Source organism: Homo sapiens, chromosome 11 (genome assembly GCF_000001405.40).
Source record: "Homo sapiens chromosome 11, GRCh38.p14 Primary Assembly".
In the NCBI taxonomy this organism is placed as follows: Eukaryota; Metazoa; Chordata; class Mammalia; order Primates; family Hominidae; genus Homo; species Homo sapiens.
In genome coordinates, this window is record NC_000011.10 from 55,553,764 (window position 1) to 55,571,692 (window position 17,929).

The window sequence follows — 17,929 nt, forward strand, 5'->3', positions numbered from 1 at the left end:
ATAATAATAATAAACTTCTGTTTTCATTTTAAAATGACAGATTTAAGAAAACACTCCGCACTTAATGCATACTTTTTATGTTTTAAATGTCAGGCTAGAGATTTTTCTAAAGATCTTTCTCTTTTGTAAAGAATGAATTCAGTTAAGACTTTTAAAGAAATATTTGAAGAGCAGCCATAATTTTTAAGTGCCTCTTGAACTATACGCTGTTTTCTTCTAGTTGCAGATAAAGCAGTCTCCCGATTAGGAATGGGATGCTGGTCATCCCTGCTCTCATTTGATGCCAATGGCAGAAATAAGTAATAAGTTACAATGCTCCTTCTCTCAAAATTTAGAGGTAACTTCAGAATACTTCTCAATAATTCACTCCAGGAAGCCACTAGTAAATGATCAAAGCTGGCACTTGATATGAAAACTCTTTCTCTTCTCTACCACATATCCTTCCCCCATATTGAACCTCTTGTTTCTTTCAAGTATTCTTTAAATTATCTCTATCACAATTCTGTCTGATATTTCAGTACTACCTTCAATAATTTCTAATTTATGTTCTCAATGACAACAGAAGCACTCAATAATTTTGCACTTGGATGTACCAACTTGTTAATGACTATGATACCACAAATTGATCTGAAGCAAATTTTCCTTTGTCCTAATTGCAGACTATACATGATCCCTGTTGGAGCTTTCATCTTTTCCTTGGGAAACATGCAAAACCAAAGCTTTGTAACTGAGTTTGTCCTCCTGGGACTTTCACAGAATCCAAATGTTCAGGAAATAGTATTTGTTGTATTTTTGTTTGTCTACATTGCAACTGTTGGGGGCAACATGCTAATTGTAGTAACCATTCTCAGCAGCCCTGCTCTTCTGGTGTCTCCTATGTACTTCTTCTTGGGCTTCCTGTCCTTCCTGGATGCGTGCTTCTCATCTGTCATCACCCCAAAGATGATTGTAGACTCCCTCTATGTGACAAAAACCATCTCTTTTGAAGGCTGCATGATGCAGCTCTTTGCTGAACACTTCTTTGCTGGGGTGGAGGTGATTGTCCTCACAGCCATGGCCTATGATCGTTATGTGGCCATTTGCAAGCCCTTGCATTACTCTTCTATCATGAACAGGAGGCTCTGTGGCATTCTGATGGGGGTAGCCTGGACAGGGGGCCTCTTGCATTCCATGATACAAATTCTTTTTACTTTCCAGCTTCCCTTTTGTGGCCCCAATGTCATCAATCACTTTATGTGTGACTTGTACCCGTTACTGGAGCTTGCCTGCACTGATACTCACATCTTTGGCCTCATGGTGGTCATCAACAGTGGGTTTATCTGCATCATAAACTTCTCCTTGTTGCTTGTCTCCTATGCTGTCATCTTGCTCTCTCTGAGAACACACAGTTCTGAAGGGCGCTGGAAAGCTCTCTCCACCTGTGGATCTCACATTGCTGTTGTGATTTTGTTCTTTGTCCCATGCATATTTGTATATACACGACCTCCATCTGCTTTTTCCCTTGACAAAATGGCGGCAATATTTTATATCATCTTAAATCCCTTGCTCAATCCTTTGATTTACACTTTCAGGAATAAGGAAGTAAAACAGGCCATGAGGAGAATATGGAACAGACTGATGGTGGTTTCTGATGAGAAAGAAAATATTAAACTTTAAAAAATCCAAAGTTAAGAGTAAAAAAGGTCAAAATGGCCTTAAATAAAAACTTAATGAGATACATCTTTCATGGCAAGAGATAAAGTAATGCTAGAAAAAAATCATTAATGTGGGATCAGAAAACTTATGTGTCCACCCTCAGAAAGCACAAATATGCACCTCCTCAGTCACCTATATAGGCCTAGTCTTACCCCGTGACTCCAAGGGCTCACAACCAACTGCATATTGCACCTCCACTCCCTTCCACCTCTGCAAACTAAGCAAGACATTCTCTCTTTTCTAGGACTAGTGGTTTATTTTAGGCTCTGGGTTCCCTCCTTCACTCTACTTGCCAAACCGTTATACCAGGCGGCTAAAGGCCCTCTCCATGAGCCTTTAAACCCCACACAGCCTATTACCCAACATTTCCATCCTCCAGAAGGCTCTCACATCAGCCCCCATTCTCACTCTCCCAGACCTCACCAAACCTTTCTCCCTCTATACCGCTAACCAGCATGGAGTTGCAGTAGGTGTTCTAACCCAGTCTAAGGGACCCATCTTCCAGGTTGTTGCCTACCTCTCTAATCAGCTTAAAGCTGCAGTTCATGGATGGCTTGCTTGTCTCTGAGCTTGGCAGCAGCTGCTGTCCTCACTCTTGAAAGCCTAAAATGATCTCTCCATGCCAACCTAACAGTCGATTCAACCTGAAACATCAAAGACATGTTAGCTCACTGCTGTGTACTAAGTCTCATCTCTGCCCCACAGCTCTTCCAACTGTATGCTCTATTCATAGAAACTCCCCACATTACCATGCTAACCAGCTCCCATCTAAACCCAGCCATGCTCTTACCTGAAGCTACAACCACCCAAGACCCTATACAATTCGGTGTGAATGCTGCTCTTACATTTTTCCAAACATAACAGACCAACACCTTCCAGATGCCTCCTTTACTTGGTTTGTAGATTACCCAGTCCTGCTCTGTCTGCTACTCAGTATCACCCCAAGGTTCCCTCCAGCCACAGCCTTTTCCTACCCACCAAGCCTGGGGCCTGGTATCCAGGCAAGATTGGCAAGTAGACTTCACTCACATACTGCCCAATAAATGGTTCTACTATCTTCTAGTCTTTGTCTGTACTTTCTTCGGGTTGGTAGAAGTGTTCCCAACAACTTCAGAACATGCAAATGTCATCACACAAACTCTCATCATGCATATAACTCCCCATTTTGAACTCCCAACATGCATCCAATCCAATAACAGGCCCGCCTTTTATCAGCCAAATTACCTAAGGCGTCTCTACACCCTTCAGGCCTCAATCTTCAGGCAAAGTTGGAAAGGTCAACTCTGTCCTTAATGCCCAACTCACCATGCTGGCCTTAGAAACCTGCTAGTCGTGGACAAAAAAAAAGTTCCCTTTTACCCTCGTGAGACTCCATGCAACACCAAAAGCACCCTTTTTATAGTCCCTTTGAAATCATGTGTGGCCAAACTTTAGTCTTAGGGCCTTCACCCTTACCAGACTCTGAGCCACTCAGGAGTTACCTCTCCTCCTTAATCCAGACATGGTCTTTCATTAGTGAAACAGCAAATGAGGCCATACCTCTCCCTGTAGACACCTCCTTGTCCTCTCAACATAAATGTCTTGCAGGCACAGACATATTTATCTGCCAACCTGACCCTCACCAAAAACTACAACTGAAGTGGACAGGTCCCTTACACTGTGATACTCAGCACACCAACTGCAGTGAGAGTCTAAGGAATCCCCCACTGGGCCCATCACACCAGAGTCAAGCTCACCCCCAAGGCTACTCCTTCCTCCAAAACATTAACTGCGGTTAACACACTGGGAGTCCCTGTGTATAATAACCTAAACAAAGAAAAATGATCCTTAAAGGTAGGAGGAAGCTAAAGATGGCAAGAAGACGAATGGCCTCCATAATGAATCATTGAATATTACTGTCCTGGCACTTGGGCTGAGGATGTTTCATGGTGTTATCTCACTCCCATATATATGCTAATTAGAATAATTAGATGACAGGCAGTTTTAGAGATAATCGCTAACCAAACTGCCTCAGCCCTGGAAATGCAAGCACAACAACAAAACCAAATGCACGTGTCAATTTATCAAAACAGGCCATTGCTAGATTAGCAGAAGAATGTGGGGTCTGTGGCAAGTTTAATATCTCCAATTGCTGTCTTAACATAGATGATCATGGAAAAGTGGTTCTTGAAATCACTTCAAACATCGGAAAAGTAGCCCATGTACCAGTCCAAACCTGGAAGGGATGGGACCCAACAAACCTTCTAGGAGGGTGGTTCTCTAATTAAGGAGGATTTAAAATACTGGTAGGTACAGCAATCTTCAACAATGGGTTCCTTCTGTTTTTTCCCCTGTGTTATCCCACTAATAGTAAAAGCCATTAAATCTCTTGTTGAAACTACATTTAGTTGCCAGACAATCTAGATGATGCTCCTCCTGTAACGACACAATGGATATCAACTGGTCTCTCAAGAATACCCCCAAAATTAAGTTTTTCTTTTTCTAAGGGGCCCACACCACGCCTATGTCAGGCCTGAAGTAGTTATTGAAAATGTCGTTCCTTTTCCTTTTTCTATAAGCAAATAGACAGGAATGAAAGATTTCTCCCCATGGCTGGAAAACTTGGGGGGATGAATAACTCCTCCCTTCTCAGGCCGAGTCTCAAGGTGCAATGCTACTTCTGCCAGCAGTGTGTGTCAGCAAGATAGCAGAAGCAGGAGGAGAGCCAGCTGGAGGACATGTACCCTGCCTGGAAGACACCTACCCTGGACAGAAGACATGTACCCTAGGAGGAAGACACATATACCTGAAAATCGAGAAAGAGGCCGTCTGGGTACTATGTGCAGTAACGTCAGACTGGGATGCTTTCTGTTTACAGGAGATTATAAAACTGTTGCCCCATCCTCACTTGGAGCTGACGCCATTTTAGGCCTCAGCCCACCTGCACCCAGGCGCTCATGAAAAGAGCATGTTGCTCCACACTGCCTTGTGTTGTCTGTTGGCACACTCTCAGGTTTCCAACCAATACAAGAACCTTTCAGCAAGCAAGTGAAACTCCAAAAGAAGAGATGTACAGCAAAATATACATTAGATCTTAACAGAATTTTGGGAGATCAGGGATTCTCCTGAGGGTGTGCTCTCAGACCTCAGCCAATTGTCCTGTTGGTTTGACCCATAAAGTTAGCTCATGTTGGTACCAAGTTCCAATAAGATATTTGTGAAAGGCCAGGGCATCTCCACTCAGAATCCTTCTGTGGTTACCAAAAATGTGAACCCCAAAAATTTGAGATAGATCTCAGTTAATTTAGAAAGTTTATCTTGCCAAGGTTGAGGATATGCACACATGATATAGATTCAGGATGTCCTGATGACATGTGCCCAAGGTGGCTGGGGCATAGCTTAGTTTTATACATTTTAGGGAGACAAGAGACATCAATCAATATATGTAAGAAGCACATTGGTTTGGTCTGGAAAGGTTGAATAACTTGAAGCAAAGGCAGGAAGACTCAAAGCAGGGAGGGGACTTTCAGGTCACAGATAGGTGGGAGACAAACAGTTGCATTGTTTTGAGTTTCTGATTAGCTTTTCCAAAGGAGGCAATCACATATGCATCTGTCTCAGTCAGCAGAGGGATGACTTTGAATAGAATGGGAGTCAGATTTGCCCTGAGCAATTTCTAGTTGGAAGGGGCCCAAGATATTTTTCTTTCACAAGTGTGTACAAGGATAAGTGAAAATCTACACAATGAGCTCTGGGAGTCCTTTCCTCTTGCAGCTCCCAGGATGTCAGCAGCCAGTACACAAAACAACCTTATTGATTTTCCACTACCATGCACATATCATAAGAGATGGTGGATTGTTTTCGTAAGAAAAGAGATGATCTATGTACTGCATGATAGCTCACAAATTAAGCCAAAAAATATACAAGCAATGCCCACACATTTGGAGATTCCAAGTAACTATTTTTCAAATTTCCTCTTCTTTAAACATAAGTGTCAGGCCTCTGAGCCCAAGCCTGCCAGTATACATCCAGATGGCCTGAGACAACTGAAGAACCACAAAAGAATGGCTGGTTCCTGCCTTAACTGATGACATTAACTTCTGACATTCCTTCTCCTGGACAATGAATCTCAGGAGCTCCCCACCAAGCACCTTGTGACTCCTGCTCCTGCCCCTGCCCGCAAGAGAACAACCCCCTTTAACTAATTTTCCACTACCTGCCCTAATCCTATAAAACTGCCCCATGCCTTTCTCCCTTTGCTGACTCTTTTTGGACTCAGCCCACCTGCACCCAGGTGATTCAATAGCTTTATTGCTCACACAAAACCTGTTTGGTAGTCTCTTCACATGGACTCACCTGACATTTGGTGCTGAAGACATGGGACAGGAGGACTCCTTTGGGAGACTAGTCCCCTGTCCTTGACCTCACTCCGTGAGGAATCCACCTATGACTTCAGGTCCTCAGACCAACCAGCCCAAGGAACATCTCACCAATTTCAAATCAGGTAAGCAGTCTTTTCACTCTCTTCTCCAGCCTCTCTTGCTACCCTTCAATCTCCCTGTCCTTCCAATTCCAGTTCTTTTTCCTCTCTAGTGGAGACAAATGAGACACGTTTTATCCATGGACCCAAAACTCCTGGACCATCACAGATGCTTCAGGTAACTCTTACAGTGGAGGGTAAGTCTATCTCCTTCTTAATCAATACAGAGTCCAACCACTCCACATTACCTTCTTTTCAAGGGCCTGTTACCCTTGCCTGCCAAACTGGACAACATTCTTTTATGCACTTCTTTTTAATTATCCCCACCTGCCCAGCTCCCTTATTAGGTGGAGGCATTTTAACTAAATTATCTGCTTCCCTGACTATTCCTGGGCTACAGCCACATCTTATTGCTGCACTTTTACCCAGCTTAAGTCCTCTTTCACATCCTCCCTTTGTATCTCCCCACCTTAATCCACAAGTAGGGGATACCTCTACTCCTACCTTGGCGATCCATCATGCACTCCTTGTCATCCCGTTAAAACCTAAACACCCTTACCCCATTCAATGCCAATATCCCATCCCACAGCAGGCTTCAAAAGGGTTAAAGCCTATTATCACCCACCTGTTACAACATGGCCTCTTAAAGCCTAAAAATTCTCTTTACAACTTCCCTATCTTACCCGTCCAGAAACTGGACAAGTCTTACAGATTGGTTCAGGATCTTCACTTAGTTAATCAAACCATCCTTCTCATCTATCCTATAGTGCCAAACCTGTACACTCTCCTGTCTTCAATATCCCCTTCAATATCCTGTCTTCAATAGTGAGTCTTCAACTCACTATTCTGTTATCTACCTCAAAGACACCTTCTTTACTATCCCCTTGCATCCCTCCTCCAAGCCTCTTTTCACTTTTACTTGGACTGACCCTGACACCCACCAATCCCAACAACATACATGGACTGTTCTGCCCCAAGTCTTCAGGAACAGCCCACACTACTTTGGCCAGGCATTTTCTCATAATCTGCTTTCTTTTTACCCATCTGCCTCCCACCTTATTCAATATTTTGTTGATCTTCTTTGAGGCCCTCTTACCAATCTTCCCAGCAGGACACTATCCTGCTTCTTCAACATATCTACTCAAAGGGGTACCTACTATCCCCCTCCAAGGAAAAAATTTCTTCCCCTAGTTGTACCTATAGTATAATCCTCTATCAACATACATGTCCCTTTCCTGCAGAAAGTATTCAGTTGTTCTACCAGACCCCAATCCCCACGACCAAACAACAACTCCTTTCCTTCTTAGGCATTGTTGGATATTTCCGACTCTGGATACCAGGTTTGCTATCCTAAACAAGCCACTTTACAGGCTCACAAAGGGTAAAATAACTGATCCCATAGGCCCTAAGTCTTTTCCCCATTCTTCCTTTTGCTCTCTCAAAAAGGCCCTGGAGACAGCTCCCTGTTGCCTTTCTATCAAAACAACTTGACCTCACAGTTCTGGGCTGGCCTTCATGTCTGTGTATTAAAGTGGTGGCTGCCACTTTAATACTTCTAGAGGACTTTAAAGTCAGAGGCTATGCTCCACTTACCCTTTACAGTTCTCACAACCTTCAGGCATCAATATCCTCCTCAAACCTTTCACATTTATTGTTTACCCCACAACTCTGCCAGCTCTATTCACTCTTTGTTGAAACTCCAACAGTAACTATTTCCCATGGGCCCAATTTCAAACCAGTTTCTCACTTAGCACCCAACACAAGTCCTGAATCACAGGACTGTATTTCCCTAATACACAGAGCATCTTCCCCCTTTCCTCATATTTCTATTCTTCCAATTCCAAACCAAGACCACACTTGGTTTATCGATGGCAGTTCTTCTAAACCCAATCAATTTTCACCAGCTAAAGCTGGATATGCTGTCATGTCCCACACCTCTATTATTGAAGCTGCTGCACTTCCTCCCTCCACCACTTCCCAACAAGCTGGACTGTTTGCCTTAACTCGTGCACTCTCTCTCACTAAAGGAATGTATATTAACATTTATACTGACTCCATATATGCTTTCCACATCCTCCATAACCATGCTGCCATCTGGGCTGAAAGAGGCTTTCTTACCACACAAGGCTCTTCCATTATCAATGCCTCCTCAATAAAGGACCTCCTTAAGGCTGCTCTACTGCCGACCAAGGCTGGAGTCATTCATTGTAAAGGACAACAGAAACCTATTGATGTTATTGCAAAAGGAAATGTCTTTGCAGACAGGACAGCAAAAAAATAGCTAATGCCTCCACTCCCTCTAGTATTCCAGTCCCCACTCCAGAAGGACAGTAATTTTCTTTCTCCTCTATCACTCCTACCTACTCTTCTTCTGAAAACCTGCTCTACCAGTCTTTCCCAACTCAGGGCAAATGGTTCTTAGACTATGGAAAATTCATTTTTCCTGCCTCACAAGCTCTACCCATTCTTTCTTCTCTTCATGACCACTTCCATGTTGGATACAAGCCTCTGGCTCACCTCCTGACACCCCTCATCACCTTCGCTTCATGGAAATCCATCCTTAAGACTATCACCTCTCAATGCTCTGTCTGCCATGCCACAAGCCCTCAAGGCTTTCTCAGGCCTCCTCATATTCTTATGCATCAGGCTCGTGGATATACTCCAACACAAGATTGGCAGTTTGACTTTACTCATGTGCCCTGTGTTTGTAAATTTAAATATCTCCTAGTTTGGGTTGACAGCTTCACCGGATGGGTCGAGGCCTTTCCCACCAGCTCCAAAAAGTCTACTTCAGTCATTTCTTCCCTTCTAACAGATATAATTTCCTGATTTGGCCTCCCTACTTCTATTCAATCTGACAATCGTCTGGCTTTTACTAGTTAAATTACCCAAGCCATCTCTCAGGCTCTTGGTATTCAGTGGAATCTTCATACGCCTTACTGTCCTCAATCTTCAGGAAAGGTAGAATGGACTAATGGTCTTTTAAAAACACACCTTACCAAGCTCAGCCTCCAACTTATAAAGGAGGACTCTGTATATTTTTAAATGAAGAGTGTTGTTTTGACCTAAATCAGTCTTGCCTGGTATATGACAACATAGAATAACTCAAGGATAGAGCCCCAAAACTTACCAACCAAGCAAATAACTATGCTGAATCCCCTTGGACACTCTCTAATTAGATGTCCTGGATCTTCCCAATTCTTAGTCTTTAATACCTGTTTTTCTTCTTCTCTTATTCTGACATTGTGTCTTCCATTGAGTTTCTCAGTTCATACAAAACCTCATCCAGGTCATCACCAATCATTCTATATGACAAATGCTCCTTCTAACAACCTCACAATGTCACCCCTTACCGCATAATCTTTCTTCAGTTTAATCTCTCCCACTCTAGGTTCCCATGCCACCACTAATCCCACTCAAAGGAGCCCTGAGAAACATCACCCATTATCTCTCCATACCACCTCCAAATTTTTGTGCCCCCTGAACACTTCACTACTATTTTCTTTGGTTTTTCTTATTAATATAAGAAGACAGGAATGTCAGGTATCTGAGTTCAAGCTAAGCCATCATATCCCCTGTGACCTGCATGTATATATCCAGATGGCCTGAAGCAACTGAAGAACCACAAAAGAAGTGAAAATAGTCAGTTCCTGCCTTAACTGATGACATTCCACCATTGTGATTTGTTCCTGCCCCACCCTAACTGATCAATTGACCTTGTGACATTCCTTCTCCTGGACAATGAATCTCATGAGCTCCCCACCGAGCATCTTGTGACTGTTGCCCCTGCTCACAAGAGAAAAGCCCCCATTAACTGCAATTTTCCATTACCTACCGAAATCCTATAAAACTGCCCCATGCCCATCTCCCTTTATGGACTCCTTTTTTGGACTTAGTCCACCTGCACACAGGTGATTAAAAAGGTTTATTGCTCACACAAAGCCTGTTTGGTGTTCTCTTCACATGGACGCATGTAACAGCATGGAAGTGATTTCAGTAACAAACATTCTATTATAGTTAAAGCATTACATCAGCCTTGGAGACCAAGAGAACATGTTGGAAGTAGATATTGACCATTTTACAATATACCCCAGGGAATGTATTTTTTCCTTTCCTGCTTCATGAGCCAGAGGTCAGGGTTGGGTTCAAAGAAATGTGTAAGCAAGGCTGATCTAAAGAACACATCATGGTCATGACCTCATCATAGCTCCTGGCACAAAGACATTACACCCTAGAGAAACATGACATGTGGAATCAATCTCTATACCTTATCTGAATAAATTATATTAGATTTTAAATTATGAAATAGGATGAAGATATCTTTAACTTTGAGGCAAATTATCTGCAAACAGTGTGCCAGTAGAAGGCATCAGGTCCATTTAAAACTCATGGATCTGGAGGTGAATCTATGTATTGAACTAACAAATCTGAAGGAGAACACACATCATTATCATTCTTTCAACAGCAGATCTTACTTTACTTGGGCAGGCTTTTGAGACTAGGCTATACTCTAGAAAAAAAAGAACTAGGGCATCATCTAATATTCTAAGGTTTTTAAAAAATTATTATTATGCCTCTGCTAGCCTGTGCAAGTCTTAATTTTAACATTTTAATTAATGTATTTATTTCCCCCACTATAAACAGATGTGAGTCATCTTTAATTGATTCCATTATGTAGGGGTAGAAAAAATATTCTTATAAATATGGTTTCATTAATAGAAAAAACATAATCTTATGGCTCAGATCTAACTTTCTAGATCACATATTGTAATACTATTTAATAAGTAAAGCAATATTTACACCTCAAATGAACTATTTCTCTCAAAAGACAGTCTATTTAGTGTTCAAGAAATTTTAGTCCAAATATATGACGCAGATCAAGTGACTAAGCATTGACATTTTGAAATTGACATTGAAAAAGAAGTCCATGTAGTTTGGATTGCAAATTGATTCATGTACATAACTAAAACAATAACAACAAAATGCAGCATTCTTCAAATTAATTTTTTAAGTCATAGTGTAGAGATTTTTGGGTCTGTTCACAAATATTCCACATAGTGGAAAAAAGAAGATCTCATTATATGTCAAAAAAACACAAATATTCCACTATATGGAAAACTGTTTCTTAATGCAGCTATATGGAAAAGTATATGGAATATTTGTGGGTTTTTTGGCATATAATGAGATCTTCTTCTTTTGGTATATAAAGAGATCATATTTCCTGTATCTCTTATGGAGATGTCATAATCTTATCCTGTAAAGCTAAATGTTGGTACATCCTGAAATGCATTCCTGCCAACTGTATTCCTAGGGACATATTGAAAAATGTTCATAGTTGCACTGTTCATAGTAGTCAAATATTCACTGATAGGATAATGAATAAGCGCATTTTTAAATGATAACAGTGGAATGTGGTATAGAATGAAAACAATTCAACAACAACATTCAACAATGGAAAAAAACTTAGTAAAATTAAGGTTGAAGGAAAAAATTTTAAAAACTACTTAAGTTTTTTCATATAATATGATAAATTGTGTACAAGTCTAAACCAAGGAAAAATAAAAAATAGATACCTGAGAAAGATAACTTACTTTTAAGGAGTAAGATAATTATACATTAAAAGATCAGGACATTGGTTACTTTTAGAGTGAGGCAGGGGGCAGGATAGGAAAGGAGTTAAAATAGATTTGGTCATTGGTAATGTTTAAATTTGGAGGATAGATAGTAAGTTTACAAGTATTTTTTGTACAATTTAAATAAAGGTAGAAAAATCAATAATATAAAGTTGATAAAGGAGTCTGGAAATACATGAACTCTAGTTGACATCTTATTAGTAGAACTGCTTGTTTGTTGTTCTTTTCTTCTGCTTGTTTGTTGTTTTTGCTTTCTTTGGTGTTGACTCCATTTTTGATCAGGGTTTCTTTACTCATGGTAAGATTACAGGCAGGAGTTGTGGGTCTGCTCCTGCAGAAACTCCTTTAGGAAAAAAGAACCAGCATTACACAATATAACCATGTAACAAACTTGCACACATACCCCCGAATACAAAGTTTTTATAAAGGAACAACTTTTCCTAAGAGTTCCAACAAAAGTACTAAGTCTGCATTTCATTTGCTGCTGGATACCTGACCTTATTATTACAGCTTTGGAGATATGTTTTCTGATGATCAAACAGGAGTTGTATTTCCATCCTTGAGAGATATTATTACCCAAACCTTATATGCTGAATACAGGCAGGTTGTGATTCTTCAGAGGAATATCAGGGTTGAGTTATCCAAGAAGAAGGATGAATTCCTGTCGGGCATGCACAATCAGGGCCCACTGAGGCAGTTTTTAAAACTCACCTTCAGCCATCATTATGTAACAGGTCAGATGTATCTGCAAAACTGTTTAGATATTATGCAGCAAAATATCAAATGTCCTGCAAAGGGTTGAATGCATCCTCCTTATTGATACTGCATTCCACACCACATCAAGAAATATAACACATTTCTATTATGCAGGACAACCTAACATATTTCATGTCTCATGATCTCTCCCAGTGCTGGAAATTGTGCTAGTGTTGTAGGACTTTCTCCTTAGTTCAGCTAAAAACGGGGTCCTTGTCACGTTGCCAGGAGAGATTAGGCTTTTAGACACTTTGAAGGGTGAGAAAAATGGAATTTATTGGCCTTAAGGGAAGAAAAGGGAAACAGGGACTCTCAGCAGAGCGAGATTCTCGCTAGTATAGGCTTCCCACCTCACTGATTGAATCCCAGGTACCACCCAGGAAGAGGAGGGGCCAGCCTGCTCCTCTTCCCTGCAAAGGGGTAAAATTCTGGAGGCTCTACCCCAGTGCACATTCCTCCCGGTAAGCAGGTTTGTAGGAGGTTCTTCAGGGACCACTTTCTACTTGGCCGTCTCACTAGTAATAATCTATGCAAGGGATTATTCCAAAATCAAACTTCATTTCTATTTGCTGCCTTCTAAATTAGTGGCCTTAGTGTAGTTCAAAAAGAAACAGAAGAGATTATTTTGTTTAACACCATAGAGGTGGTTTTTCAGAAAAGAAAATTATATATTGTGACTCAAATTCTTTTTCAATTTCTTTCATTTGTTTTATTCATTCATTCACTTACTAAACTCTTCATTATTAATTGTATACTAGAAATTATGATTTATAAATGCCTACTGTGGTGGCTATGGTGGAGAACAAGATAGTCATGATGCCTACCTTCAATAAGTGCTTATAATTTATAGAACATGCTAAGAGTTTGAGGAAGAAATAAAGTTTCTTTCTTGGTTTCTAGCCTTATGTAAACTTTTTCTTTATATATATATTATATATACATTTTTATTATACTTTAAGTTCTAGGGTACATGTGCACAACGTGCAGGTTTGTTACATATGTATACATGTGCCATGTCAGTGTGCTACACCCATTAACTAGTCATTTACATTAGGTACATCTCCTAATGCTATCCCTCCCACCTCCCCCTTCCCCCCACCCCACAACAGGTCCCGGTGTGTGATGTTCCCCTTCCTGTGTCCATGTTTTCTCATTGTTCAATTCCCACCTATGAGTGAGAACATGCAGTGTTTGGTTTTTTATCCTTGTGATAGTTTGCTGAGAATGATGGTTTCCAGTTTCATCCACGTCCCTACAAAGGACATGAACTCATCATTTTTTATGGCTGCATAGTATTCCATGGTGTATATGTGCCACATTTTCTTAATCCAGTCTATCATTGTTGGACATTTGGGTTGGTTCCAAGTCTTGGCTATTGTGAATAGTGCTGCAATAAACATATGTGTGCATGTGTCTTTTTGTATTTTTTTTTTTTTTTTTGAGACGGAGTCTCGCTCTGTCACCCAGGCTGGAGTGCAGTGGCAGGATCTCGGCTCACTGCAAGCTCCGCCTCCCGGGTTCACGCCATTCTCCTGCCTCAGCCTCCCAAGTAGCTGGGACTACAGGCGCCCGCCACTACGCCCGGCTAATTTTTTGTATTTTTAGTAGAGACGGGGTTTCACCGTTTTAGCCGGGATGGTCTCGATCTCCTGACCTCGTGATCCGCCCGCCTCAGCCTCCCAAAGTGGCATGTGTCTTTATAGCAGCATGATTTATAATCCTTTGGGTATACACCCAGTAATGGGATGGCTGGGTCAAATGGTATTTCTAGTTTTAGATCCCTAAGGAATTGCCACACTGTCTTCCACAATGGTTGAACTAGTTTACAGTCCCACCAACAGTGTAAAACTGTTCCTATTTCTCCACATCCTCTCCAGCACCTGTTGTTTCCTGACTTTCTAATGATTGCCATTCTAACTGGTGTGAGATGGTATCTCAAATATAGAAGTCTAGTATCTCAAATATAGAAGTCTAGTATAACTAATTTAGGGAGGGTTGAGTGGTTTAAGAGATTACTTAAGGAATACAATGCTTCTCACCTTGGCCTCTGTAATACCACATAGAAGCATAGAAGGAGCCTCTTAACCCTGGATTCCACTCCCTTCTGTCCTCCACCATTTCCTGGTTGCTTTTATGTTAGCTCTTCTCTGTTACCTCCAACATCAATACATTGTTTGTTTACTATTGTTTTAACCAGTGTATCTAGCCATCCTAAAATGGGCTAATCTTGTTTGAAGAGTTGTGGAGAGTGCAGTAGTTATTAGAACATGTGCTGTATTACTGGTAATACTTTGTCTCCAGACTATTGTAACCCACTTTTGTGTCTGATTCCTTTGAGAATTTGTTGAAAGGTGTTAACACTACTCTGCAAAGAAAATGGATGTAGAATCATACACATAGACATGCACAAAAGTGTGCTTCAGTATCAGAAGGCTATGAAAAACATCGAGGCTCTCCTTGCAACTCTAAAGATTCAAGGATTCATATAAAGAAAATAACCCAACAAATTCTTCAGATGATCATTTTTATGGGAGTCAGAGTCCCAGATTCTTTCTTGGCCATGTGGTGCTGTGCAGAGTACATCTTCTACTCCAGGTCATGGATCTAATTCATGGAGTTATCTGAAATTGATCTCAGCGGGTTCTTTTGTTTGTTTTTTTGCTTTTTAATTGAGAAACATATTTGTCAGTGTGCTATTCATAATACATAGAAATCTCCAATAAGTAATAAGTGGATGTGTCTTTCCATCACAATAGTACTGAAATAATTAGATATTATTATTACATTTTTAGTTCAACAAAGAACGTTCAGTTACAAAACACTAAGCACTATTAGCAATATCAAGACAATAGCACAGAAAGCAAAAAAAAAAAGGCACTAAACACCTATATTGTATTAGACATTGGGTTTTGTACAGTGGAGAATAATATGCAGAGAACACATAGCTTTCCTGTATTCTTATTCTAGGATAGAAGCTAAGCATACACAAATAATTGAGTTTAAGCAATTATATATAGCAGTATAAGAAAAGAATAAGGGAGTCTTTTAAAAAGCAGCAGAGAGAATTTCCTTTATCACAAGGCAATTTTTGAAGGCTGCTTAGATGAAGTTTCTTCACAGTTGTGTTTTGAAATTTTGTAACAGTTGAAGTAGATAGAAGTGGAAAGGAATTCCAGGGAAGAAGACAGATACCGATTATTGATTAAACTGTTAACTAAATATTTGATGAGGACCTATAATTATTACCAAATTAATTACATTACATATCTGTAATCCTTAATTTACCTAAAAAACTTTATGTCCCAATATATAAAGTAAATAATACAGACTACCTAGAAATGAATAGTCTACTAGGATTACTGATATACAGACCACAGACCAAAGGTTATACCCTCAAAGGAGTGCTCAAAGTCATAAAGTATTAGAGGTGAAAACTACTTCTACATTATCAGGCCTCCAAAGCCTACCACATTTTCAAGTACAAATACTTTGTAATGGATCACCCTTTTAAATGAATAAAGGAAAAAATGAGCTTATTGTAATAATTAAAATACCAACTCAGTTCCCTTATAGTTTAAGATACATTTCAAAGATTACAGAGTCCAAATATATATATACATATATATAAAATATATATTACTGAGTCCAAAGAGTCAAAAGATATATATATAAAGTATATATATGTATATAAAGTGTATATATATAAAATATATATGTATATAAGATATACATATATACTTTTTTATTCTTAGCACACCAAAGTGAACAACTTCATCAGACACTTTCCTGGGAGTATTTTTTTTTTTATTTGGAGGAAGATAAGGGATATTTCAAATCTGGTGAGGAGAAGAAGGAGAGGAATCTGGAGAGAGGAAGAAGTATATATAAAGGGAATTTTGTGTCTGTTTTGTCTATTTTATTCTGTTTTGGCCAACTTGTAACTTTCACCAATGTTTTGAAGGTATTGATTGAATTGTGGATGTAAAAACTAAAAGTAGAAGTTCCTCTTCAAAGACTTTACTCCCCATCTAATTAGGAATAAATAGTAACTTCTCTTCGAAGCAAATTTTGTTTAAAGACCTGCACTCCTAAATATTTGCCCTGGCATGCTTATACTGATCCAAGCAAGCATTAGGTCATAGCCTGTTCCTCTTTCTTATTTAAAAGTGTTTTTACCTTTGTCAGCATTCCACAAGTTACTTCCTGCTTCCTTTTTCTCCTCTGCCTTTGCCTCTTTTAAAAACTTCTGAGTTGCTAGCCAATATGGACAAATACAGAATGAGGTCCTGTTCCAGCCAATGGAAAACGGACACAGCAGTTGTCAGGTTATAAATGACCCTGTCTCCTTTGTTCGGTGTACTCTCGTGGCAAAACTGCTGGCGAGTGTACCCTTTCTGGAGGAAGTAAAAAATGACCTTTCTAAATAAATTCAATTTGTGTTCAAGAGCTATTTCTTTTATAACACCAGGGAACAAGCATTTCAAACAGTGGAGAAACACAATGGGCTTCCAGACTATATTTAAATAAATTACACTTTGGTTTATATTTCTACTTGCATATTATGTACTGTCTAGTGTCATCTTGACAACAAAAATGTAGAGAATTTATTTTTCTTGAAAGAGAAGCCTTGTGATAATATTAGTTTCCATATATTCTTAAAAACTGATCTTCACTGGGAAAAGTGACATTTCAAAGTTGAAGCACTGACTTTTCCATGATAGAAAATAAATTGAATGAAGAAGGTATTTAGTATCTACTCTCTCTTCTCTAAAACCACATCACCTTCTTTCCTCCAAATCTCTGCTCTGTTCCAGGAATGTGCAGTTTTTGAATATCAGGATAATGAAAACTCTTCTGGGGATTACAAACATGATCTGGTTCAATGATAACACTTCAAACCACCCCACTTATAAAATGCTTTCTTGTTTTCATGATTCTAATATTTAGTTTGAATTGTGAAAACAAACAGTTGAGTAGTAATACTGTACCCCACCCTCATCTTATTTAAATGTAACCTCAGAAACTCTGTGTGTTCTAGGGATGCTTTCAATAAATTAAAGGAAGAAAATTAGAAAGGGGGATATTAAAGAGATAACTAATTTTCAAAGAACATTCATTCCTGTTTATTAGTATATGTCAGGACAAAATGTTATAAGGACACATCAAGGTAGCAACAGATTATTTAGAGGCTATAAGTGTTTTCGTTTACTTTTTATAATCTGGAATATCTGGGAGAAATTTTGCAGAGAAGTGGAGCATACAAGGTATTAATAAATAACATCTATATAAATATATATAATGAATATGGAATGTATAAACTATGTATTAATAAGATATTATCTACAGGGTGGTGGTGGCATAGGACTTCATATTGTAAAACTCAAAG

At 39.6% G+C, this 17,929-nt stretch overlaps 1 protein-coding gene across 1 annotated transcript; it reads left to right on the top strand.

The window, feature by feature from the left end:
* Positions 1–705: 705 nt before the first annotated feature.
* On the top strand, positions 706–1,656 carry OR4C15 (olfactory receptor family 4 subfamily C member 15). The gene has a single exon (NM_001001920.3). The coding sequence runs from the start codon at positions 706–708 to the stop codon at positions 1,654–1,656; it is 951 nt and encodes a 316-aa protein (NP_001001920.2).
* Positions 1,657–17,929: the final 16,273 nt, after the last annotated feature.